Source organism: Homo sapiens, chromosome 9, assembly GCF_000001405.40.
Source record: "Homo sapiens chromosome 9, GRCh38.p14 Primary Assembly".
Classification (NCBI taxonomy): Eukaryota; Metazoa; Chordata; class Mammalia; order Primates; family Hominidae; genus Homo; species Homo sapiens.
This window is the reverse complement of record NC_000009.12, coordinates 133,361,422-133,385,769: the sequence shown is the minus strand read 5'-3', so window position 1 is coordinate 133,385,769 and position 24,348 is coordinate 133,361,422. Positions and strand designations below refer to the sequence as shown.

At 52.0% G+C, this 24,348-nt stretch overlaps 2 protein-coding genes across 18 annotated transcripts in view, besides 4 other annotated features; one reads left to right on the top strand and one right to left on the bottom strand.

Annotated features, from left to right (window-relative positions):
* STKLD1 (serine/threonine kinase like domain containing 1) overlaps positions 1 to 9,404 on the bottom strand; it is a 29,731-nt gene extending 20,327 nt beyond the window's left edge. For both annotated transcript variants that reach the window (NR_103997.2, NM_153710.5), the window contains exons 1-4: positions 9,210 to 9,404; positions 6,648 to 6,734; positions 1,870 to 1,914; positions 79 to 153 (exon numbers count right to left, since the gene is read on the bottom strand). Coding sequence is in view for 1 of the 2 variants with exons in the window: in NM_153710.5 (NP_714921.4) it covers positions 79 to 153; positions 1,870 to 1,914; positions 6,648 to 6,734; positions 9,210 to 9,296 (294 nt within the window). In the remaining variant the exon portion in view is untranslated. The remainder of the gene's footprint in view (positions 1 to 78; positions 154 to 1,869; positions 1,915 to 6,647; positions 6,735 to 9,209) is intronic.
* SURF4 (surfeit 4) lies at positions 7,821 to 24,306 on the top strand. 16 transcript variants are annotated; one of them, XM_011518944.3, is made up of 9 exons: positions 10,210 to 10,550; positions 13,117 to 13,184; positions 14,630 to 14,718; positions 14,807 to 14,894; positions 18,325 to 18,511; positions 19,095 to 19,171; positions 19,742 to 19,785; positions 20,744 to 20,930; positions 22,011 to 24,306. In XM_011518944.3, exons 4-9 carry the CDS (start codon positions 14,874 to 14,876, stop codon positions 22,275 to 22,277), a joined length of 783 nt encoding a protein of 260 aa, XP_011517246.1. In that variant the 5' UTR covers positions 10,210 to 10,550; positions 13,117 to 13,184; positions 14,630 to 14,718; positions 14,807 to 14,873; the 3' UTR covers positions 22,278 to 24,306. The 16 variants fall into 16 exon arrangements, with proteins under 16 accessions (NP_001267717.1, NP_001267719.1, NP_001267718.1 ...); XM_047423807.1 differs by lacking the exon at positions 14,630 to 14,718 and having other exon boundaries at positions 10,222 to 10,971; NM_001280790.2 differs by lacking the exons at positions 13,117 to 13,184; positions 14,630 to 14,718; positions 14,807 to 14,894 and adding an exon at positions 9,710 to 9,848 and having other exon boundaries at positions 10,382 to 10,531.
* Positions 9,166 to 9,665: a silencer, noted in NCBI's record as "silent region_20456". NCBI's record gives its function as "represses an Ori minimal core promoter by ATAC-STARR-seq in GM12878 lymphoblastoid cells {active_cell/tissue: GM12878}" and the evidence as "EXISTENCE:reporter gene assay evidence [ECO:0000049][PMID:35858748]".
* Positions 9,756 to 9,995: a silencer, noted in NCBI's record as "silent region_20455". NCBI's record gives its function as "represses an Ori minimal core promoter by ATAC-STARR-seq in GM12878 lymphoblastoid cells {active_cell/tissue: GM12878}" and the evidence as "EXISTENCE:reporter gene assay evidence [ECO:0000049][PMID:35858748]".
* Positions 10,006 to 10,285: a silencer, noted in NCBI's record as "silent region_20454". NCBI's record gives its function as "represses an Ori minimal core promoter by ATAC-STARR-seq in GM12878 lymphoblastoid cells {active_cell/tissue: GM12878}" and the evidence as "EXISTENCE:reporter gene assay evidence [ECO:0000049][PMID:35858748]".
* Positions 17,411 to 18,082: an enhancer, noted in NCBI's record as "H3K4me1 hESC enhancer chr9:136234564-136235235 (GRCh37/hg19 assembly coordinates)". NCBI's record gives its function as "activates a minimal SCP1, AML or CMV promoter by ChIP-STARR-seq in naive H9 embryonic stem cells {active_cell/tissue: H9 hESC(naive)}" and the evidence as "EXISTENCE:reporter gene assay evidence [ECO:0000049][PMID:30033119]".

Sequence of the window (24,348 nt, the reverse complement as noted above, 5' to 3'; positions counted from 1 at the left end):
CGTGCTCTGGGCTCAGTCTGCTTGGTCCTGCAGCCCACTGCGTGGCGGCTGAGCCCGTAGGTGTCAGCTCTGACCCACCTCCCCATTCCACGTGATGAACAGCTCCTGGTACACAGAGATGTGGGCGTGCCGCAGCTTCAGCAGTGGCATCAGCTGCCAGGATAGAGCAGAGGAAACGGAGAAGTCAGTGCCTCTCCACGCCTTTCTCAGCTCGGGCTTCTCTGTCACACATCCCAACAAACATGCAAGCCTCGGGCTCTGAGCTGGGCCAGGGAGTGGGCTCAGGGAAGCTGCACGGTGGTTGGGAGCCAGGCAGTCCGATGTGGGTCCTGTCTCCAGCATGAGCTGGCTGTGCTGGGTGACTGGGCCTCATATAGTCATCTGAAAATGGGGGTCCTAGTGGAATCTGCCTCACAGGGATACCATGGGGGGTGAGTGAGCTGTGGCAGGCAGTGCCAGGAAGGTGGGGATCAGCCACAGCCAGGGCTGGCTGGAGGAGGTGGTGCAGACACCGGGAGGTGGGCACACGGAGAGGTCCCGGTGCCCCTGCCCTGGCGGAAAGTGCTTTGAAACATGCCCAAACAGGAGCAGATAGGGCTGCCTTAGAGACATGGAGCCAGACAGACAACTGCTTGGGGTGGAAGGTTGGGCATGAAAGCAGGTGGCCTACCTAGTGGGCTGTGGATGGGAATCGGCAACGTGAAAAGCCACGGCGGCGTGCGGCTCTGGGCAGGCCCCATGCTCTTTCTTCCCATTTGTTACCGAGTAGCCTGGGCCCACCACTGTGCTTCGGTCACACTATACACCCAATAATGTTTGCTGGCCAAGCTCCAGAGCCAGCAATTCCAGAAGACAAACAAGTGACCATGAGATAAGAGGGGACACCTTCAAGCTCGTGGGAAATTCAAGAAACACAAAGAAAGGCTACTCGGAGGCTTTGCCAATCAAACCGAAGTGCAGCTGTTATCGCTATTATTGTAAACGAGTATGTTACTGCTGGGCAGCTCTCAATGGTAGAATTAAGGGTAATTTATATTTGTTTTGTTAAACAGTTCTGGTATGGGTGTGGTGGTACATGCCTGTACCCCAGCACTTTGGAGGCCGAGGTGGGACGATTGCTTGAGCCCAGAAATTCAGACTAGCCTGGGCAAAATGGTGAGACCCCATTGCTATTAAAGAAAAAAAAAAAAAGGTAAAAACAAAAGAAAACCCAATTCTGTATTTTTAAAATTTTCTGCTGTAATTAATAATTTTATATTGAAGAAAAAATATTTAAAGAAGTTATTGGTAGATTAACCTAGGGACCCGGCCAATATTTATTTATTTTTGAGACAAAGTTTTGCTCTGTCACCCAGGGTGGAATGCAATGGTGCAATCTCGGCTCATTGCAATCTCCGCCTCCCAGGTTCAAGTGATTCTCCCGCCTCAACCTCTCGAAGTAGCTGGGATTACAGGTGCCCACCACCATGCCCAGCTAATTTTTTTGTATTTTTGGTTGAGACAGGGTTTCCCCATGTTGGCTAGGCTGGTCTTGAACTCCTGACCTCAAGTGATCCACCCGCCTCGGCCTCCCAAAGTGGTGGGATTACAAATGTGAGCCACCGTGCCCAGCCCAATATTTAAATTTTATGTTCTCTGGGAACATATGTTCTAAGTTGTCGGCACCTGCATTTAGCAGTGAGTGTTTGGGGCATGGACTCCCTTCATGACCTGGGGCTGCTGGCTTCACAGCTGAGGCAAAACTGGTGCTGATGCTCTATCCCTCCCTCCAGCCTTCTCTTCATCCAGGCACTCAACAAGAAGGTACAGAACACAGTCTGTGTATGCTCCATTGAGCTCTTCCAGAGGGAAAACTACCCTGAGAGTTACCTCCTCCAGGGCCTGACTGGCGTAATGGTCATCCATGCATTCCACCTGCAAGGGCACAAGAGCATGAGCTTAATAAACATGTAGCAAATCATCTCCGTTATCACCGCCATCACCACCACCACAACGACCATTACCATCATCTGCACAGCCACCACCTCCACCACAACCATCACCATCATTACCACAACCACAACCAACACCACCATCACTGTCACCATCATCACCATCACCATCATCACCATCACTGCCATCATCACCATCATCACACCACCACCACTACCATTACCACCATCACTCCATCACCACCACCATCAACACTATCATCACCATCATTAACATCATCATTACCACCTTCATCACCACCATCACCATCACTGCCATCATCACCATCATCACCATCACCACCATCATCACCATCACACCACCACCATTACCACCATCACTCCATCACCACCACCATCACCACTATCATCACCATCATTACCATCATCATCATATATCATCACCATCATTACCATCATTACCATCATCACTGCCATCACCATCATTACCATCATCACCATCACCATCACCACCATCATCACACCACCACCATTACCACCATCACATCATCACACCACCACCATTACCACCATCACTCCAACACCACCACCATCACCATCATCACTATCATCACCATCACCACCATCATTACCAAAATCACCATCACACCATCATCACCATCATCACACAATCATCACCATCATCAAAATCATTACCATCACCACCTTAACCATCATCACACCATCACCACCACCACCACTATCATTACCACCATCACACCATCAACACCACCGTCACCATCACCACTATTATCCCCATCATCACCAACCTCATCACCATCATTACCACCATCACCATCACACCACGACCACCATCATCATCACACCATCACCACCATCACACCATCAACACCACTGTCACCACCACCACTATTATCCCCATCATCACCACCATCACCAACATCATCACCATCATTACCACCATCACCATCACACCACCACCATCATCACACCATCACCACCATCAAACCATCAATGCCACTGTCACCATCGTCACTATCATCACCATCATTACCATCATCACCACCATCATCACCATCATTACCATCATCATTACCACCATCACACCATCAACACCACTGTCACCATCCCCACTATTATCATCACCATCACCACCATCACCATTACTATCATCACCATCACACCACCACCACCATCATCACATCATCACCACGACCATAATCACCATGACCACCATCACCATCATCACACCATCACCATGACCACCATCACCATCATCACACCATCACCACCATCACCATTATCATCACCATCATCATCACCATCATCACTGCCACCACCATCACCACCACTACCACCATCATTGCCACCTCCATCATCACCACCATCATCACTATTTAGCAGGAGTGACAGGCTCCCACCATTCCTGCCCCCACCATATGGCACAAATGGAAGATATTCCTAAGGCAGAGATCTAAAAATACTTAGAGCAATGAGAACATCTTTGCTCCTTTTGCAAAGATAAGTTTAGGACAGCATAATATACGCTCCAAGAACTCAGTAAAGGATCCATTTTCAGACCGTCTTTAAACAGGAACATCTTGTTCTGGTTGGGAAAGCATCAATCTCACCACTTCATTCCTTACCCACATGGGGAAGGTTGTCTCCACGCATGGAATGTACAGTGCTCTTCTCTCCTGTGCCCTCTCCGGGTGGAGGTGGGGAGGGCATGGAAAGGGAAGGGTGGTGGCAAGGGCAGCACGGAGCTTTGAGTCTGCAGCACGCTTGGTGGCACAGGCCCTAGGTATATACTACCACTGGCTCTAATACCAGATCCTCACCCAGAATTTTGCTCAAAAGACTTATGAATGAAGTACTCTTATAATGGGGTGAATGCAGACCATCATGTAAAGTTAGTGAATTGTTCCCAGATCTATGGAGAGACCTGAGATGCCAGTGGCACTGTCCCGTGGAATCCAGGGCAAAGACACTGAGTGAGCCTTCCTGTCTTCCTTTCCTCCTGTCCTAGGGGGCATATGAGGAGGTGAAGTTGGCCAAAACATGGAAAGACTTGAAAATGTTACATTGTGGCCGGGCACAGTGGCTCACGCCTGAAATCCCAGCACTTAGGGAGGCCGAGGCAGGCGGATCACCTGAGGTTGGGAGTTCGAGACCAGCCTGACCAATATGGAGAAACCCTGTCTCTACTAAAAATACAAAATTAGCCGGGCGTGGTGGCACATGCCTGTAATCCCAGCTACTTCGGAGGCTGAGGCAGGAGAATCACTTGAACCTGGGAGAAGGGGGTTGCAGTGTGCCGAGATCACGCCATTGTACTCCAGCCTGGGCAACAAGAGTGAGACTCCGTCTCAAAAAAAAAAAAAAAAAGCGGCTGGGTGGGGTGGCTCACGCCTGTAATCCCAGCACTTTGGGAGGCCGAGGCAGGCGGATCATCTGAGGTCGGGAGTTCGAGACCAGCCTGACCATCCTCTCCATGTTGATGGAGAAACCCCGTCTACTAAAAATACAAAATTAGCTGGATGTGGTGGCACGTGCCTGTAATCCCAGCCACTCAGGAAGGCTGAGGCAGGAAAATCGCTTGAATCCGGGAGGCAGAGGTTACAGTGAGCTGAGATCACACCACTGTACTCCAGCCTGGGCAACAAGAGCAAAACTCCATCTCAAAAAAAAAAAAAAAAAAAAAAAAGTTACATCGTATGACCCAGAAATCTCACTCCTAGGAATTTTTCCTAAGGAAATCATGGATGCTAAACAAAACAAAACAAAACAAAACAAAAAAACAAACAAAACCATAATGCCATAAGCATCTTTATCAGAGCTGTTTACACAAAGTGAAAAATTGAGAACAAGCTCAATGCTCAGCCCATGTGATAGGGATGGCTTGGGTTAGTTACAGCACATCAAGCAAGACGGGAGGCCACACAGTTGCCAGAGCCAAGAGAGGAGGAGGCTGTGGGAATGACATGAAACTATGTTTGCAATATAAAAAGGATGCTATCAACTTTAACGATACCATTCTCCTGAATCCAAAAAAGTTTACAAACGCTTAGGAAAAAAGACTGGAAGAACCCATAAACTCCTACCTACACTCTCTTTCCCCAATTTTTATTTAGAAATAATTGGGTGATATTTTTATTTTTAATTTAATTAATTAATTAATTAATTTAGACAGAGTCTCGCTGTGTCACCCAGGCTGGAGTGCAGTGGCGCAATCTCGACTCACTGCAACCTCCGCCGCCCGGGTTCAAGCAATTCTCCCGCGTCAGCTCCCAAGTAGCTGGGACTATAGGCACCCACCACCATGCTCAGCTAATTTTTGTATTTTTAGTAGAGATGGGGTTTCACCATGTTGGCCAGGCTGCTCTCAAACTTCTGACCTCAAGGGATCTGCCTGCCTCGGCCTCCCAAAATGCTGCGATTACAGGGATGAGCCACCATGCCTAGTCATGGCTGACATTTTTAAAAGCTCCTCAGGCCGGACGCGGTGGCTCATGCCTGTAATCCCAGCACTTTGGGAGGCCGAGGCGGGCGGACTGCCTGAGCTCAGGAGTTCCAGGAGTTCGAGACCAGCCTGGGCAACACGGTGAAACCCTGTCTCTACTAAAATACAAAAAATTAGCCGGGCGTGGCAGCGTGTGCCTGTAGTCCCAGCTACTTGGGAGGCTGAGGCAGGAAAATTGCTTGAACCCAGGAGGCAGAGGTTGCAGTGAGCTGAGATCACACCACTGCACTCTAGCCTTGGCGACAGAGCAAGACTCCATCTCCAAACAAAAAAAAAAGCTCCTTAACTGCTCAGAGGGCAGTCAGCCACACTGCCCCAGTGGCTTGTGAGACAAGGGGGCCAACCCCACAGCCAGCCAGCAAGGGAGCAGGGCAGGGGCAAGGACTCCAGGCCCAGCCATACAGGGTGAGACTGCGGAGCTGTACGGACTGAGGCCTGGCCCAGTAGCAGCTGCTGACAAGGCTCCTCCCGCTGTATGGCCAGCCCTGAACCTGCTGGGTCCCTGCCACCACCACAGAGAGGAGGGCATGCCAGGGACTCTTGCAGCAGCTTTCTCACCCTAGTCCCTCTGTTGATCTGGACCTCCCTGTCTCGGACACACAAAGGGCTGTCTTCCTGCAGGCCTACACCTCCCCATGCCCTGCTAGCCCTGGTGAGGAGTGTGGTGGAAGGGCTCAGGGCCTGGTGTGTGACCTTAGCCCTGTGTGACCTTGAGCCAGTCCCCATCCTCTCTGGGCCTGGCTCCCTTTTGGTAAAACTGGTGACCCAGCACTGGGTAGCACGGTGTCCCCCAGTGAGGTGGCCTGAATTCAAATCCTCTTGGAAATTGTGTGACCTTGCCTAGTCTGGCGCTGCATTGAGCCTCACTGTCTTTGGCTATAAACAGGGTCATTGTTTCTGCTTTACAGGGTTGACGGGAGATGAAGTGAGTCAGTGCCTGGCATACAGCACGTGATGCGTAAATGGTGGGAGGTGGTGGTGTTGGAGTAAAAATTAGCATTGCTTCCCCATCAAGGTGACAGAGCTTCACGCACCCCCACATCTACCCCAACCAGATTAGTCTCCGCAAGTGTCAGCAGCGAGGAATCCAGCTGCCGCATCAGGAAGCTTCTCCAACATGGGAAGAGCTTGTATTGGGGAAAATCACAGTCACAGAACCACCCGGCATGGGATGCACAGGCTTGGCCTCTTACCTGCTTTATCACATGCTTGACTTTGGTTTCCATTTCCTCCACCACCAGGTTCACCCCCAAGGCCCCAGGATTCAGCTGGTACAAAACCTATCAGCAAGGAAGAGAGAAGCTTTCAGGAAATGCACACAACTTTTCCCTTTCCAAAAGCCCAGCTCCAACTCCTTTTCTGGCCCTGCTAACTCCCCTGTCAGGCTGGCAGAGCAAGTGGCTCCACCCCATCTTGCAATAGAGGAAATGGCCCAAGGAGGGCAAGAAGCCTTTCAATGGCAGAACTCTGATCTCACCTATTTGGGGCCGATTCTGGAGCTCTTCTACAACCCTGTATCCCTCCCCCAACCTGCAATGAGGACCAGCTGGGCACTCAAGTGCAAGAACCTCCCAGAGAAAAAGGGCTTATTCACTCTCTATAGACCTCTGTGACCTCAACTTCCAGCATCCACCTCCCAACTGGTTTCCAACAAGAAAGTAACCAATCTTGTGACTGGTACAATCAGGAAGCCATTGTGTGCCTGGCATGGTGCCAAGCACTTCACAGCCACCCTTTGCAGTTGACACCATTGCTACCTCTGTGTTTACATTGGGGAAAACTGAGGCACAAGGAGCTAGGTCCTTGCCTGAGGCTATGTCACTAGAAAGCAGGACACTGCCTGGGGTAACTCTGGGGGTCTGATCTTAGAGCCTGTGATTTGAGCCAAATCTGGAGAGATGGCCACCAAGCCAGAACTCTGTGCAGAGACCAAGTGCTATGGGGCAGGGGGCTGGGCCGGGGATTGCTGGAGGCTGACATTCATCAGAGGATTGGGGGAGGGAGGGCAGGACCCAGAGGAGGAGATATGAGGATGGAAGCCTGAGCCTAGGGACTCTCGGAGCCCATAAAAGTCTTAGGAGTCTGTAATCCAGCCTTGTGAGCAGCCTGCTCATGACACTGGATATTCTAAGCCAGGGGTCCCCAACCTAGTCCGTGGCCTGTTAGGAACCAGGCTGCACAGCAGGAGGTGAGCAGCAGGCAGTGGAGCAAAGCTTCATCTGTATTTACAGCCGCTCCCCATGGCTCGCATTACCACCCAAGCTCCACCTCCTGTCAGCTCAGCAGCAGCATTAGATTCTCATGGGAGTGTGAACCCTATTGTGAACAGTGCATGTGAGGGATCCAGGTTGCATGCTCCTTATGAGAAACAAATGCCTGATGATCCGTCACTGTCTCCCATCATCCCGAGAGGATGGTCTAGTTGCAAGAAAACAAGCTCAGGGCTCCCACTGATTCTACATTATGGTGAGTTGTGTAATTATTTCATTATGTATTACAACATAATAATAGAAATGAACTGCACACTAAGTGTAATGTGCTTGAATCATCCCAAAACCATCCTCCCGCCTCCATCTGTGGAAAAATTGTCTTCCACAAAACTGGTCCCTTGTGCCAAAAAGGTTGGGGACTGCTATTTTTTTTTTTCTTTCTGAGACAGAGTTTTGCTCTTGTTGCCCAGGCTGGAGTCCAATGGCGCTATCTTGGCTCACCACAACCTCTGCCTCCTGGGTTCAAGCGATTCTCCAGCCTCAGCCTCCCGAGTAGCTGTGATTACAGGCATGCGCCACCACACCTGGCTAATTTTGTATTTTTAGTAGAGACAGTTTCTCCATGTTGGTCAGGCTGGTCTTGAACTCCCGATCTCAGGTGATCCGCCCGCCTTGGCCTCCCAAAGTGTTGGGGATTACAGGCGTGAGCCACCGAGCCCGGCCAGGGACTGCTGTTCTAAGCCACAGCGGGCTGAGGGCAGAGCTGGTGTGAGAGCGTTCAAGCTTAGGCAGCAAATTAAACAGTAAAATGGAGCCGTATCTCGAATCAAGTCTATTTTTTTTTCCAAAAGCAGGTATATTCCTGAAACGTCTATTTTTTTTTAATCTGAAAAACAACTTTACTTTAAAAATTATCTGGCCACCAGAAGCTCATCTGCTTCACCTCTGGCAACGCCCTATAGTCCTCTCACACAAAGACAATTCTTCCAAAGTGACAAAAATCTAACCCGCAAACTGTTTCCAAGCGAATGCATTTTTCACAAATGCTGAATCTAACATTTAATAAAGTGTATATATCATGTATAGAAGCATTTAATTAAACATTTACTTTTATTTTGCAGCTTTCCTTTTGTGTTTTGTGAATTTTTTAGGTCTCAAACATTTTCACAGACCCACGCTGCAGGGGTGTTTTTAGGGGACTGGGGGCTCCCAATTATGTACTCGGGATGTTCCCGGGGGTCCTGCCTCGGTGGACCCAAGCGCACAGACCCCAGGCACGAAGGATAGAGGAGCTGCCCCACGCCCTCAAATACTCAGCCAGGGCTGGAGAATCCTTAGTCAATTCACAAAGGGGGAAACTGAGTGGCAAAGGGCACCCAGGAGGTCACCGTTGGAGGCCCCCCGGGTTCAACCTAGGAGCTGCAGGCCGACACTGGCCAGGGCGCGGGCCCCTCGCCGCCCTCGGTCGGAACCGCCGGCCGTAGCTCCAGGGTTGCGACCGTTACCCCACGGAGCTCCCGCCTCCCCGCAGGGAACACTCGGCACCTGGTACTTCTCCATGGGCTCTCCGGGGGACCCTGGGCCTCGCTCCCCCTGCGTGGGGCGCCTGCGATTGGACCCTGGCCCAAGCATGATCAGTAGCGACCGCGTACGGGCGAGCGTCCACCCCTGGCCCCACCCCGCGTGGGTCAGTGGGACCCGCGGGATCCTCCCCGCCCGAACGGCGCCCTCGAGGCACTCAGGCGTCCCTCCCGCGCGCTGGCCCCAGACCCCCAGGTCCCCGCCCCCTTAAAAGGGACGCGTTCCGCCGGGCCGGGAGGGACCGCAGGGCCTGCGCGCGGCGGGCGGGGCCTCCAGCGTGAGAGGCGTGGCGTCGAGCGCGGCGGGCGTGGCTTCGAGCGGATGGGTCGGGAGGCTGGGGATGGCGCGTGGCCCCTTTAAGACGCACCGGGGCGGGCCCGGGCGGCGCGCGGCCCCTTTAAGGCTTGGCCTACGTGGCAGCCGCTGGAGCCGCAGCCGACGCGGAGCGAGGCCGGCCGCCGGGCACTTCCTGTGGAGGCCGCAGCGGGTGCGGGCGCCGACGGGCGAGAGCCAGCGAGCGAGCGAGCGAGCCGAGCCGAGCCTCCCGCCGTCGCCATGGGCCAGAACGACCTGATGGGCACGGCCGAGGACTTCGCCGACCAGGTGCGGCCTGCGGGCTCCTCCCCCGGCCCCGGTCCCGACCCAGGCCGCCCGGGCCGCTCCGGAGTCGGCCTCCCAGCGCAGGGCGCCAGGCCCGGGCCGCCCCCTGACTCCTTGTTCCCACAGGGGGACCCCCCCGCCCGGGCCCTCTGTCCCGGCTGGACAGCCCCAAACCCGGCCTCCGGGCCCAGTCTCCCCTGCCCGCTGGGCCGCTCCCGGAGCCCGGGCCTCGGCGCCCTGCCTGGCTAGCCGCCCCCACCCTCCAGCCAGCCCGGGGCGCGGGCTGTGGGGGTTTCTTCCCGGGCCGGCGGCGCGAGTCCTGGCGTTGGGTCGGGTCTGAGGCTCGCGGGGAGCGCCTCGGCGTTTGGAGCTGCTGGGGGGTCCCCGCACGTTTTTCCTCTCACTGGGGCTCCCGGAGGCGGGCTGGGAGCTCGGGGACGAACGGGGGCCGGGGGTCCTCCCAGAGGAAAGGGGGCGCGCTGGCGTGCGCCCCAGCTACAGGAAGCCACAGCACCTTTTCCTTTTCTCTTTCCCAGATGTGCTGGACTCTTGGGGTCCCTTTGACCCTGTCTGCGTCTCCCTCCCCGTTTGGACTCTGCCCTGGGCTGGATTGAGTGGGGACCTGTACACAGCCTGGGAGGAGGGGAAGCCTATCTCCCTGATAGTCTCCTTCCAGAAGTGTCCAGGTGGCATTCTGAGCAACAGGGAAGCCTTTGAAACAGGCGGTTGGGTAACTGTTGAGAGCATTCGGGAACTGGGTGGACAGGATCCGATCCTACAAAGTGAAGGGACACAACTCCCTTCCCTCTTTCTTGATTAAGCTTGACAGAACAAAAAAACAAAAACAAAAGGTGGTGGTGGTTACGCAGATTTATGCCTTTTACTTCTAAAAGAATCCCGTTATGTCGACAAATTAACAGCCTTATCCCCGCAGGGAGAGCCTTGTGTGGCCCACTTGCCGTTTTTTCCTCGGTTTACTTAATGTGTTCGTGTGGCTTTGCTAGAGTTTTAAGTAGTGATGGTTAAATTTTTAAATTTTTCTGGAGGTGGTAGTGAGTCATCAAACTCTGAGGCCTAGACTTATCGGAAGGCTTGTATATGTGTGGTTTAAAAAAAAAAGAAAAGAGTAAGTGACCGTTTTCTGATCAGCTATTGAACTCTTCCGTTCCTCCTGGGGGGTGATCTCTTTCTAGTGTGACCTCACCATCGGTTCTCATTGCAACACTTTCTGTGAGCCAATATTTTAAATTTGGAGGGAAAAAGTAATCAACTTGACGAAGCATTTTTTCCCTAAGATTCTGATTTTGTGCTTAAAGACACAATTTTATTTGTTTATTTATTTTTATTTATTTATTTTTTCTTTGAGATGGTGTTTTGACCTTGTTGCCCAGGCTGGAGTGCAATGGTGTGATCTCAGCACACCACAACCTCCAACTCCTGGGTTCAAGCGATTCTCCTGCCTCAGCCTCCCGAGTAGCTGGGATTACAGGCATGCACCGTCACACCCAGCCAATTTTGTATTTTTTTTTTTTTTAGTAGAAACAGGGTTTCTCCATGTTGGTCAGGCTGGTCTCGAACTCCCGACCTCAGGTGGTCTGCCCACCTCAGCCTCCCAAAGTGCTGGGATTACAGGCGTGAGCCACGGCACCCAGCCTTTAAAGACACAATTTTAAAAACAATTCATATCAAAAGCTCTCAAGAACCAGGTAGACCTTTTAGGTTTGTCAGTTTTCATTGACATAATTTATAGTGACCCATTTATATTTCTCCAAGTCGCAGCTCCCTAAGAAGATGGCTCCTCATAGCTGAGGGAAGGATGAGAGCTACATACACTCGCTCTTTGTCCTGGAAAACCTGGATTTGCAAGTGAATTTCATAACCAAATCTAGATCAAATGTCTCCAGTCAAGCTGCTGCCCACTAGCAAATGACAGACTCCCCTATTGACAAAAAAAAGTTCCCAGTGTCTTCACATACTGTTTTCTTCTTCTTTTTTTTTTTTTTTTTTTTTTTTTTGAGACAGAATTTCGCTCAGGCTGGAGTGTAATGGTGCGATCTCGGCTCACTGCAACCCCCGCCTCCCGGATTCAAGCAATTCTCCTGCCTCAGCCCGAAGTAGCTGGGATTACAGGCGCCTGCCACCACGCCCAGCTAATTTTTTTGTATTTTTAGTTGAGACGGGGTTTCCCCATGTTGGCCAGGCTGGTTTCGAACTCCCGACCTCAGGTGGTCCGCCTGCCTTAGCCTCCCAAAGTGCTGGGATTACAGGCGTGAGCCACCCTGCCCTGCCTTTTCTTCATGTTTTGTTATTATGTTTTTTTTGGAGACAGAGTCTTACTTTGTCACCCAGGCTGGAGTGCAGTGGCGCAATCTCATCTCACTGCAACCTCCGCCTCCCGGGTTCAAGCTATTCTCCTGCCTCAGCCTCCTCAGTAGCTGAGATGACAGGCCCACGCCACCACGCCCCGCTAATTTTTGTGTTTTTAGTAGAGACAGCATTTTGCCATGTTGTCATGTTGTCCAGGCTGGTCTCAAACACCTGACCTTAGGTGATCCGCCTTGGCCTCCTAAAGTTCTGGGATTACATGCCTGAGCCACCGCGCCCAGCCTTCATCATGTATTCTGTTATGTTTTAAATGAAAGAAGCAGTAGCTTGGAACTGGAAAGGCTCTTGAGGGGGCACAGAGTCGACCTCTCCCAGGTTACTGAGGGGAGGCCAAACCTGCTCAGGCTCCTAGACTTGCCTGTGACCAAGACCAAGAAAAGCCGGGTCTTGGTCCCCAGCGCCCCCAGCCCCTGGTGTTGCTCTTCTGGCACAAGTCAAGGGAAGAGCACTAGCGGGTGAAGGGGCTGCTCACATACAAAACCCAAGTGGGTTAGGACCATATCTGTAAGGCACCATATCTGTAAGGCAGCGCAGGCTGCCGCCGTCAGATGATCTCCTTAAGAGTCCGTCTAGGTGGTGGCAGAGCATGGCTGTGGGAGCTTCCATGCCCTTTTGTGGGCAGCTTGGGAGGGCAGCTACTTGTACTCGCCCAAACCCCAATCAGACAGATGCAGGCAAGTAAACAGGGTTCGAAGTCAAAATATGGCTTCTTGTGGACAGAATCTGACCAAGCCCAGGTGGGGCTTTGTTTCTCTTTATTCACATAGTACTTAAAGCTGCCAGACCAGGCTTTTACATGAAAATGACCTAATTTGAAGCCGATAGAGGATTACCATGGAAGTCACTGATCAGATAAAGTGACACATCCATTTTTTCACATCTTCAGAAAACAAGAGCAAAACTGAAGTGACAAGATTTGACCAGAAAGTGTGGGCTGCTGAAAGCAAGACCTAAGTAAGCTTAGTTTCCCAGGCCCAGTGTCTTCCAGTATTATGACAATGACATTAAGTCTTTCACTGGGCCGGGTCCATGATAGACATTCCTTTTGTGAACTTCTTGACTGTAGGAGGTTGGCCAGAGCGTCACCATCTTCAGATGGGCAGAGGGAGGTTGGCTGGCCGCACTGGCTTGTGGTGGCCTGGAGACTGAGTCCGCATCCTGTTACCCCAAAGGCTGGGTTCCTCACTGCTTGGTTGACTGATCTTTCCTTCTGGCCTGCAGAGGCTGGTCCACGGGGACGAGCAGTCTGGTTAGTTTCTGCTGGCAGGCTCCCCACAGTTGCATCTCTTGTCTCTCTGCCTCTGGCATCAAGCTGCTTGCTCTGGCAGCCAGGGACAGTGTCCTCTTGCTCCCAGGAGCCATGCTCTGTAGAAACTGCTGAGACGTGCTCTATGCAGGAGCTTGGCATTTGGAAGCCATGGGAAGGGTCCAGAAACTAATGAACTCAGCAATCCAAACTAATGTCCATGCCTGCAGCTGCTCCTCATTGCCTATTAGACACTCTGTAAAATGTAGCTTCTAAGCAGTTTATACCCATAAACAGCAATATTAGCACTTAATGGGTTCTGCCTGGTGGCTCATCACCAAGGTGACAGAAAAGCTGCATGGGGCCTTCCTCTCCAGTGTGACCTTTGGTGTTTTTAACCTGTCCTCAAGAGTGGCAGAGCTAGTCCTGGGCCCTAGGAGCTGGCCTCGGCCCTAGTTGAAGTGCTGGGGAAGCAAGGATAGGCCTGAGGACCCCTGAACTTGCAGGTGGCACAGGCACTGTGAGGGTCCCGATGAACACCATGCTGGTGACTGGTGTGGCAAAGTCCTGGTGACAGTGGCAGGCTCTGTCATACCCTGCCCTATATCATGAAGGAGTGGGGAGAGAAGGCAAAGAGGAGCTGACTCACTTTTCTTTGTGTGATGATCTTAACGGGAGGTTAAAACTCACTCTTCAGGGGAGTGCGGGCGAGGAGCAGAGGAGGTTGTGGTTAGCGGGGCTCCTCCCAGAACATGGGGCCCAGTCGTTCTCAGTTACGTCTTTCCTATAGTTGGGATTTTGATCACACAGTTTTTTAGTAAAGCCAGGCCATCATCTCCCACATTGGGCTGGCGACATCCTTTCTGGCCCTGCAGGGTGCAGTGTGAACCTATAGAGCAGCATGGGAGCGGGGCTCGGGGAAGTTCTGGAGCTGCAGTGAGCCAGTGAGCTCGAGCCAGCTCTGACAGGCTGATGTGAGGGAAGCCGCTGGGCCGCAGGTGCTTGTTTCTAGGATGTGTGGGACCTGAGTTGGGCTTTGAACAAGGCAGCCCCAGTCCTTGGTGATCAAGGAAATCTGACCTGCCTTTTTCGTCGATGTTCACATTCACCACGAATTTGCAAGCTGCTTTCCTCAATTTCTTTCTGTCCTGAGTGTGAAGAGAAAGTGGAGTTTTCTGTGTGGCGTGGGAGCTGCAGGTGGCTGTGACAGTGATCACTGGATGCCCAGGAAGTCATCTCAGGGTGGATATAATTAATTACGTTTCTAAAATCCCCTTCAGTCGTCTAAAATAACCACCCCTTTGAGAGAAATATCAGTCTTCCTGTTAAGCCCCTCAGATGCTGTCACTGCTTATGAACCATATCCTGCTTGATGGCGCGGTTCTCGGAGAGACTTAATGAGAAGCTTGGCCACAGAGGTGAGCTAACTGTCATCTTCTTCCTGCAGCCTGCCAGGTCAACAGCCACCTCTGGCTCTGCTGTCGCAGTTCTCTAATGGGGGGGAGGGGGACTGTCACAAGTTTTATGTGCTCGCCGTGTTTACACAGGTCACCTGTGTGCTGGCTACCAGCAATGGCCTTAGTGCCTGCAGTGCGGCTGCTCTTGTCTGTCCTGGGGTGCTGTGTGTCCTGCCTGTGTTGAGGGCTCTTCTCTGCTGTGCTGAGGGGACACTGGCTCTGGGACGTGTTCTAGAGTGGCATGACATGGTTCCAGTGGCCAAGTTGAAGTAGTTGTGACCAACATGCATGTAGGAAATAAGGTTAATGTTGGGCCTTGTCTTTAAACGTGGCTTTTTCAGTGTTCAGTCCAAACAGATGCTCATTAAATGGTGGCCAGTTTAGAGGAGACTGCATCAGCCTGACTTCAGCCTTCAGTGTGGACCAGGCTTGCCTTTGAAAACCAGGACAGCCAAGCAGTAGGTGTGCTCAGTTCAGAAGGCAGTACCTAGATTTTTGCATATTTTTCCCCAAAGCCAAGAGCTGTGTCTGTTTCGTCACCATGTTTGCGCAGGGAAGGAGGTGTGAATTGCCTGTCCCACCTTCTCTCTCTTTTTTGCTCTTTAATCCTCTTGACCCAGACACTCAAATTAAGAGTCGCAGACTCATTCAAAGAGACTTTTAAACACTGCCTCAATCTCGTGGGCTGTGCACGTAGATGAGCATGTTAAATGCAGGTCCTGCAACTGGGGGAGGCTTAGACCGCAGCCCATGGCTGGGCTGGTTTGCTCATCTCAGGCCAGTGAGTGGCTCACAGCTCTCATTTTAGAAGCAAGTCAGAACACCTCTGGTGTCTGTCTTGGGTATGGATTGCAGTCTACCTCTCTGCTGCTGTTGGGGTCCACGCCCCACACCCACACCCTGCCCTGGGAGTCCCACCACGGCTCCGTCTCATCTCAGAGGTCTGGACAGCCTCCTGTTGAGCTCTTCCTTCCCAGTGGTTGCTTTTCCCCAGGTTCAGATGAGATAAAGGCTTGTGTCCTTGCTGGGGCTTCCCAGCTGGGCCACGATGTGAGGCCATTCCTTGAGAGCAGTGGCACATCGTGTGCCACGGTGGTGTGCTTTCTCTCTTCCATGGAATATGGGTGATTACACTGTTGCTGGGCATTTAGAGAGCAACGGGGCCATGAGGCAGAACCTGGGGAGGGTGTGTGGCGTCACCTTTCCCACCACCCAGTGTGATGCAGGTTGCGTCACACTGTGCACATGGGCATCTTGTGCTGGTTCTCTGCATTGGCCCTAAAATTCACAGGGGAGTATTTGGGGCCTTTTTAAAAATAAAAAGTGAAACAAGGTCTTCCTCCTAGTAAAGTTGGAAAGCATCTTACCAACCATTAGTTCAGGTGGCCTCACTCTACTGCAGGATAGTAGAGACACTCTCAAAAAAGTAACTGGGCGTGTCCAGGTCACACGGTGTGCTGGCTGGATGGTACCAGGGCAGGATGAGATCACAGGGCCTCAGAACCTCCACCTGCACTTCATCTCCCAAACCCACTTGGTGATTCTCTGGGTATCTGTCGGTCACTGTGATTTCTCCCATCACTTCCGTGGAGTCAAAGGCTGAGTAAATGTGTGCAGAACTGACACTGCAGGGCGCAGTGGGTTTGGGGAGAATGGCCACCTGGCTTTGTAATCTCTGCCTCCGTTCTCTGCCACATGGGAGCCAATCTGCAGTGCTGACCTAGTCAGGGCCCCACCTGACAGGCTGGAGGGTGACCTGAACACCCAGGGGCGTGGTAACTGAGATGGGCAGCTTCAGCAGTGTCTAGGACTTTGAAGCAACTTTTAAAAATGCTGAAAAATAAGAAACACGCATATCTTCCTTTGTTCCAACAGTAGGTTTAGTCAGCCCTAGGAGGCCTGTGCAGCTGACGTTCGCTCGCCTCCCGTGGGGGTCAGCCTCTCGGGTGCTCTTTAGACTCTGGCTTCCCAACATGCGTTGGTGGATGGGTCCCCTGATCTTTCTCCGAAGGACTTGCTGTGTTACAGTATTTCTTTCACTTTATATCTCAGTTTTGCATGGGTGATAAGAGAAAAGTGCATGGGGTGAACCTGCGTGACATTTGTACCTGGCATCCGATAGTGCATGTTGGCTACCTAACCCAGCCGTCATAAATGACCTGACTCACAGCACAGCAGGAAGTCATAAATGTTTTCTTTCCCTTTGACATTTGACAGTGATTTCACACACTTGCGTTTCATTGCTGTTGAAACAGCTGTCCATCCCATTTGTTAGTGTGTTTTAATTTGCTCGAGATTATGCAGGCTTTGACAAAATCCCAGCGCTTTCTAGCCATTAGCGGTACCAGCTTCATGCTGCGCTGACGGTTGCTGCACACACAGTCCCCACGTCAGATCCTGAGCTTGCAGGGGAGAGCTCCGTCGGGCTGGGAAGCGCCAGCCCTGGTTTGCAACAGCACACATGCGCTGTCCAGAGCCTGGGGCCTCCTCCTGCTGCTCTGGAGATTTTCGGATAACTGTAAACGTGATCTTACTATTCAGTCAACCATGTGGCCCTCTAGGTGTGGCACCCTGGCTGTCACCTAAGCCAACCCTTGTTCTGTCAGGGTACTCTGGGCGTCACTGGGCAGGCTGGGAGGTCCAGGCCCTTGGCACCTCAGCCATGTGTGACCTGCAGGCTGGGGTCAAGTCTTGGCATTGCACCATCAGGTCTGCGAAGCCTAGGGGAACCCCTTCCCGCTGGGTTTAATATAGCCATTTGTAAGGTGAGGGGTTGGACCAGAGCAGCGGAGATGCCTGGCAAAGTGCAGCGGTGCCTCAGGAGGGAGGCTGCTGCTGGCATGTCGTGGGCAGACATGTCGTGCGTCATAGCCTGCAGCACCCAGGATGACCCACGGCAAAGAGTGGCCTGGCCTCAGATGCCAGTAGTGCTGAGGTGCAGAAACGTTGGATAGATGACCTCTAAGTGCCTTTTCAGATGTCATTCTGTGATTCCAACTTGTAAATGCCTTTGACCGAAAAGAGCAGCTCTGTGTCTTGTGGCAGTGCCACCTTGGAAGACTGTAGTTGCCTGCCGAGGCACTGGGGGAAATCACGGTAGCAGAGTGTTAGGGCTGCTGCCCTATAGGATCTGCCCCAGAGGGCCTAACGTCAAGTCATGCATCTCCGGGACTGATCCTTGGATTGTTGCATGTGTCCAGACTCACAGGGTAGCGCTCAGGAGCAAGCACTGAGAGCCCCCTAGTCTGCCCTGGGAAGGCACCGGGGCTGACAAGAGCTCTTGCCTTCCACAGCGTCTGTTCCTCACACACCCCGCCCAAGGACGTGCCTGGCAGCGGCCTGGTGCTCCCCGCCGCAGCCACCTCACCCTTGGGTTTCTGTGGCCCTGCAGTTCCTCCGTGTCACAAAGCAGTACCTGCCCCACGTGGCGCGCCTCTGTCTGATCAGCACCTTCCTGGAGGACGGCATCCGTATGTGGTTCCAGTGGAGCGAGCAGCGCGACTACATCGACACCACCTGGAACTGCGGCTACCTGCTGGCCTCGTCCTTCGTCTTCCTCAACTTGCTGGGACAGCTGAGTGAGTGGCTCTGCGGGTGGTCAGGATTCACTGGGCGTCTTGTTCCATGATCGTTAGCAGTTGGGAGGCTGTGTGTGAACTCGGGGGTCTCCTGGACTGCTGTCCCCCCTCCATTCCCCTCTTCTCCAGCTCAGCTGTGCCAGGCCAGGAGTCCGGTTCTGCAAGCCTTGGTGGGGACGCTTAGTCTCTAGCCCTGAGCTCACTGCTTTAGAGCTTGCTAAGGAAATAGGACATGGTCCCTGTCAGGGACCCAAAGCAGGAGATGCTGGAGTCTGGCTGGCAGTCCACAGTAGAGCAGTTAATTGCCTACCTCAGGTGGGTGGCTGACTTGGGAGCTGATTGTGGGAAACAGCCCATTCTTTATGACGGCAAGGGCTCCACTTTCTGGTGTTTGTGATAAGTCTAGTCAGCTTACCATGTGTGGTCCTTGCCTATCATTAATTCTTCCAGAAGTTGTCTTTTGCTTGGGTAGGTGGTTTGGCTGCCTCTGGACCTAAGGGCCAGGTGAGGTAGCAGTGTATCAAGACAGTGCTCCCCGCCGGCACCCACCCTCAGGCCCCCTAACCCTTGTCCTTCTCTCCAGCTGGCTGCGTCCTGGTGTTGAGCAGGAACTTCGTGCAGTACGCCTGCTTCGGGCTCTTTGGAATCATAGCTCTGCAGGTACACGGGCCGCGTGGTCGGGGCTCCCTTCTCTTTGCTCTGGTGGAGCAGAGCTTCTGAAAAGACATCCTTGAGGGTTCAGTGTCACTCCCCCTTCAGCCCCCTGCATGTCTCTGACTGCCTGGAGCTCCTTTCTCTTCTGGGGAAGTCGTGAGCCCAAGCAGGGCTGTAGAGGCAGGTCATTCGGTACTGGGCCATCTTTTGTCCCATTTCTATGATTACCGTGACAAGGGAAGTCTCGAGCTTGGCTGCAGCCAGGATGCTGTCTTGTTATCACGTTGCTTCATAAAGAAGAATACTTGGTTATTCAGAATGAAATGCTGGGAACAGAATATCTGAATCCACATCAGTGGTCTCAGAATCACTTTGTTCTCTGGAACATCATAGCACATTTCTTGAGAAATACAGAACCACATTTTTGAGCTTAGATCTGTCCTCGGTCTCCTACAATGGTTTTGTGTGTTTTAGACTCCAGCTGACATTGGAGAGACGGCCTAATGTATTATGAAGTCTGTGGAAATGCCTTTGGAAAGGCTGAGACTCAAGTATCTCTCTCTTCTTTCCCCTCAGACGATTGCCTACAGCATTTTATGGGACTTGAAGTTTTTGATGAGGTATGTGCATTCTGGTTGGTTTTAGTATACGCTCCTTCTACAGGTTGAGCATTGCAAATCCAAAGTCTGAAATGCTCCAAAATGGGAAAAATCTTGGGCACCAACATGACGCTCAAAGGAAGTGCTCATTGGAGCATTTCAGGTTTTGGATTTTCAGATTTGGGATGCTCAGCCAATAAGTATATAATGCAAATATACCAAAATCTGAAACACTTTGGGTCCTAAGCATTTCAGGTTAGGGATACTCAATCTGTATTTCTAAACTCAGTTAACTATTGGTTTGAGTAGACTTCTCTGGGTCTAAACCAAGCTTGTCCAGCCTGTGGTCCACGGGGTGAACATGGCCCAACACAAACTCAAAAACTTTCTTAAAACATTGAGAGTTTTTTTTGTGATTTTTAAGTTTTATTTTTTAGCTCATCACCTATCATTAGCATTAGTGTATTTTATGTGTGGCCAAGACAGTTCTTCCAGGGTAGCCCAGGGAAGCCAAAAGATTGGACCCCCCTGTCTAAATTGTGCCTCTTAGAAACAGGTTCTGAAGAGGATGTTGCAGAGCCCCTAGAATAGTAGAGACTGAAGCCGTCTCTTCTGACCCTTATTTCACGGGTGTGGGGACTCCGGGTCTGAGTGGAGGACAGACCTGACCACGGGGACCCAGCTGGTCAACACTGAAGCTGTGACTAGGACTCGGTTGTGTGTGTGTTCAGGTAGCCTGTCACTGTCGAGTTGTAAAGATACCTCTGTCTCCTGAGCTATGTAAGGTTTTACATGGGTGTAACTCGAGTCTGAGGTCCTGTGCGCATGCCTGCCTGGTCCTGCTTGGCAGATCACTGGGTTTGGAGAAAGGGAAGTAAGGGCCTTCTTATACTGGCAGCAAGGTCTCCCTGCACCTGGTCTCACAGACAGGCCAGATCCTGGTGAGGCTTAGCTTCCAGCCCACATATCTGTTCCTCAGGAACCTGGCCCTGGGAGGAGGCCTGTTGCTGCTCCTAGCAGAATCCCGTTCTGAAGGGAAGAGCATGTTTGCGGGCGTCCCCACCATGCGTGAGAGCTCCCCCAAACAGTACATGCAGCTCGGAGGCAGGGTCTTGCTGGTTCTGATGTTCATGACCCTCCTTCACTTTGACGCCAGCTTCTTTTCTGTAAGTATTCCTACTTGCCTGAACCGGTCTGGTTTCCTGTGAATGCTGTCCCTCCCCCACCCCCTCCCTGCTCACCCCTCCCTGGTTGGGTATTAACCACAGCCTGGGGGAGCTGCTGAAATGGAGCAAACTTTTTTTTTTTTTTTTTTGAGACGGAGTCTCGCTCTGTCCCCCAGGCTGGAGTGCAGTGCGTGATCTCGGCTCACCGCAAGTTCCGCCTCCCGGGTTCACGCCATTCTCCTGCCTCAGCCTCCCGAGCAGCTGGGACTACAGGCGCCTGCCAACACGCCTGGCTAATTTTTTGTATTTTTAGTAGAGACAGGGTTTCACCGTGTTAGCCAGGATGGTCTCGATCTCCTGACCCCTCGTGATCTGCCTGTCTCAGCCTCCCAAATTGCTGGGATTACAGGCGTGAGCCACCGTGCTCGGCGGAGCAAACTTTTTGATCCCATTAAAACAGACCAAAACATCGTCAATCTCTTGTGTGTCAAGCCTTCTTTCCAGCAAATGAAGGCCAGAACCTCTGACCTTGGTGGAGTGTGCTTGGCCCTTGGTTGGCCAAGGCTCTCCACCCGGGCTCCCCTTACTCTTCTTTCTTTCCTCACTGTTCGTATCTTTCTCAAGTAATTCCTGTGTGTCAGGTGTCAGGGGCAGGCCTCCAGGAGCTTCCAGAGCACACCTCCGGAGCTGACTGAGAGCCCTGGCCGGGTAGTGTCCAGGAAGAGCTCCTGGCGCCATGGAGAGAGGAGAGAGGATGTTTCTGGCCTGGATGGCTGGGTGGGCCAAGAAGCACTTGGGAATTTAGTTATGGATTAGAGATTCATCTTGGTAAATCACAGCCTGTTACTAGTTGGGAACTTCAGTCTTCCCCAAACCTTCCACATTTCAAAGCTGGTGCTTTATTGCCTCCTGCCTCCCTTTGGCTTTTATCTCCCTACTTGCACCAGCAGCCGTCTCAGCAGTAGCTACATCAGCCTGATGGATAGAGACTTCATGACGTGCAGCAGCTGGAACTTTTGTTTATAAAGCATCTCTTTTCCTCACATTTATTTTGAATTTCTTACGTTTCAACCTATGCAGATTGTCCAGAACATCGTGGGCACAGCTCTGATGATTTTAGTGGCCATTGGTTTTAAAACCAAGCTGGCTGCTTTGACTCTTGTTGTGTGGCTCTTTGCCATCAACGTATATTTCAACGCCTTCTGGACCATTCCAGTCTACAAGCCCATGCATGACTTCCTGAAATACGACTTCTTCCAGACCATGTCGGTGATTGGGGGCTTGCTCCTGGTGGTGGCCCTGGGCCCTGGGGGTGTCTCCATGGATGAGAAGAAGAAGGAGTGGTAACAGTCACAGATCCCTACCTGCCTGGCTAAGACCCGTGGCCGTCAAGGACTGGTTCGGGGTGGATTCAACAAAACTGCCAGCTTTTATGTATCCTCTTCCCTTCCCCTCCCTTGGTAAAGGCACAGATGTTTTGAGAACTTTATTTGCAGAGACACCTGAGAATCGATGGCTCAGTCTGCTCTGGAGCCACAGTCTGGCGTCTGACCCTTCAGTGCAGGCCAGCCTGGCAGCTGGAAGCCTCCCCCACGCCGAGGCTTTGGAGTGAACAGCCCGCTTGGCTGTGGCATCTCAGTCCTATTTTTGAGTTTTTTTGTGGGGGTACAGGAGGGGGCCTTCAAGCTGTACTGTGAGCAGACGCATTGGTATTATCATTCAAAGCAGTCTCCCTCTTATTTGTAAGTTTACATTTTTAGCGGAAACTACTAAATTATTTTGGGTGGTTCAGCCAAACCTCAAAACAGTTAATCTCCCTGGTTTAAAATCACACCAGTGGCTTTGATGTTGTTTCTGCCCCGCATTGTATTTTATAGGAATAGTGAAAACATTTAGGGACACCCAAAGAATGATGCAGTATTAAAGGGGTGGTAGAAGCTGCTGTTTATGATAAAAGTCATCGGTCAGAAAATCAGCTTGGATTGGTGCCAAGTGTTTTATTGGGTAACACCCTGGGAGTTTTAGTAGCTTGAGGCAAGGTGGAGGGGCAAGAAGTCCTTGGGGAAGCTGCTGGTCTGGGTGCTGCTGGCCTCCAAGCTGGCAGTGGGAAGGGCTAGTGAGACCACACAGGGGTAGCCCCAGCAGCAGCACCCTGCAAGCCAGCCTGGCCAGCTGCTCAGACCAGCTTGCAGAGCCGCAGCCGCTGTGGGCAGGGGGTGTGGCAGGAGCTCCCAGCACTGGAGACCCACGGACTCAACCCAGTTACCTCACATGGGGCCTTTTCTGAGCAAGGTCTCGAAAGCGCAGGCCGCCCTGGCTGAGCAGCACCGCCCTTTCCCAGCTGCACTCGCCCTGTGGACAGCCCCGACACACCACTTTCCTGAGGCTGTCGCTCACTCAGATTGTCCGTTTGCTATGCCGAATGCAGCCAAAATTCCTTTTTACAATTTGTGATGCCTTACCGATTTGATCTTAATCCTGTATTTAAAGTTTTCTAACACTGCCTTATACTGTGTTTCTCTTTTTGGGGGAGCTTAACTGCTTGTTGCTCCCTGTCGTCTGCACCATAGTAAATGCCACAAGGGTAGTCGAACACCTCTCTGGCCCCTAGACCTATCTGGGGACAGGCTGGCTCAGCCTGTCTCCAGGGCTGCTGCGGCCCAGCCCCGAGCCTGCCTCCCTCTTGGCCTCTCATCCATTGGCTCTGCAGGGCAGGGGTGAGGCAGGTTTCTGCTCATAAGTGCTTTTGGAAGTCACCTACCTTTTTAACACAGCCGAACTAGTCCCAACGCGTTTGCAAATATTCCCCTGGTAGCCTACTTCCTTACCCCCGAATATTGGTAAGATCGAGCAATGGCTTCAGGACATGGGTTCTCTTCTCCTGTGATCATTCAAGTGCTCACTGCATGAAGACTGGCTTGTCTCAGTGTTTCAACCTCACCAGGGCTGTCTCTTGGTCCACACCTCGCTCCCTGTTAGTGCCGTATGACAGCCCCCATCAAATGACCTTGGCCAAGTCACGGTTTCTCTGTGGTCAAGGTTGGTTGGCTGATTGGTGGAAAGTAGGGTGGACCAAAGGAGGCCACGTGAGCAGTCAGCACCAGTTCTGCACCAGCAGCGCCTCCGTCCTAGTGGGTGTTCCTGTTTCTCCTGGCCCTGGGTGGGCTAGGGCCTGATTCGGGAAGATGCCTTTGCAGGGAGGGGAGGATAAGTGGGATCTACCAATTGATTCTGGCAAAACAATTTCTAAGATTTTTTTGCTTTATGTGGGAAACAGATCTAAATCTCATTTTATGCTGTATTTTATATCTTAGTTGTGTTTGAAAACGTTTTGATTTTTGGAAACACATCAAAATAAATAATGGCGTTTGTTGTATGCAGTGTGATCCTATAGCGTTGCCCAGCCTGAATGGGGCTC

Bases quoted from the DNA above. Each gene is read 5' to 3' on its own strand.
- SURF4 (XM_047423805.1), top strand. From the start codon at position 14,849: ATGGCGCGGTTCTCGGAGAGACTTAATGAGAAGCTTGGCCACAGAG. The intron at 18,512-19,094 runs GTGAGTGGCTCT...CCTTCTCTCCAG, and splicing joins CAACTTGCTGGGACAGCTGA to CTGGCTGCGTCCTGGTGTTG. The intron at 19,786-20,743 runs GTATGTGCATTC...TCTGTTCCTCAG, and splicing joins GACTTGAAGTTTTTGATGAG to GAACCTGGCCCTGGGAGGAG.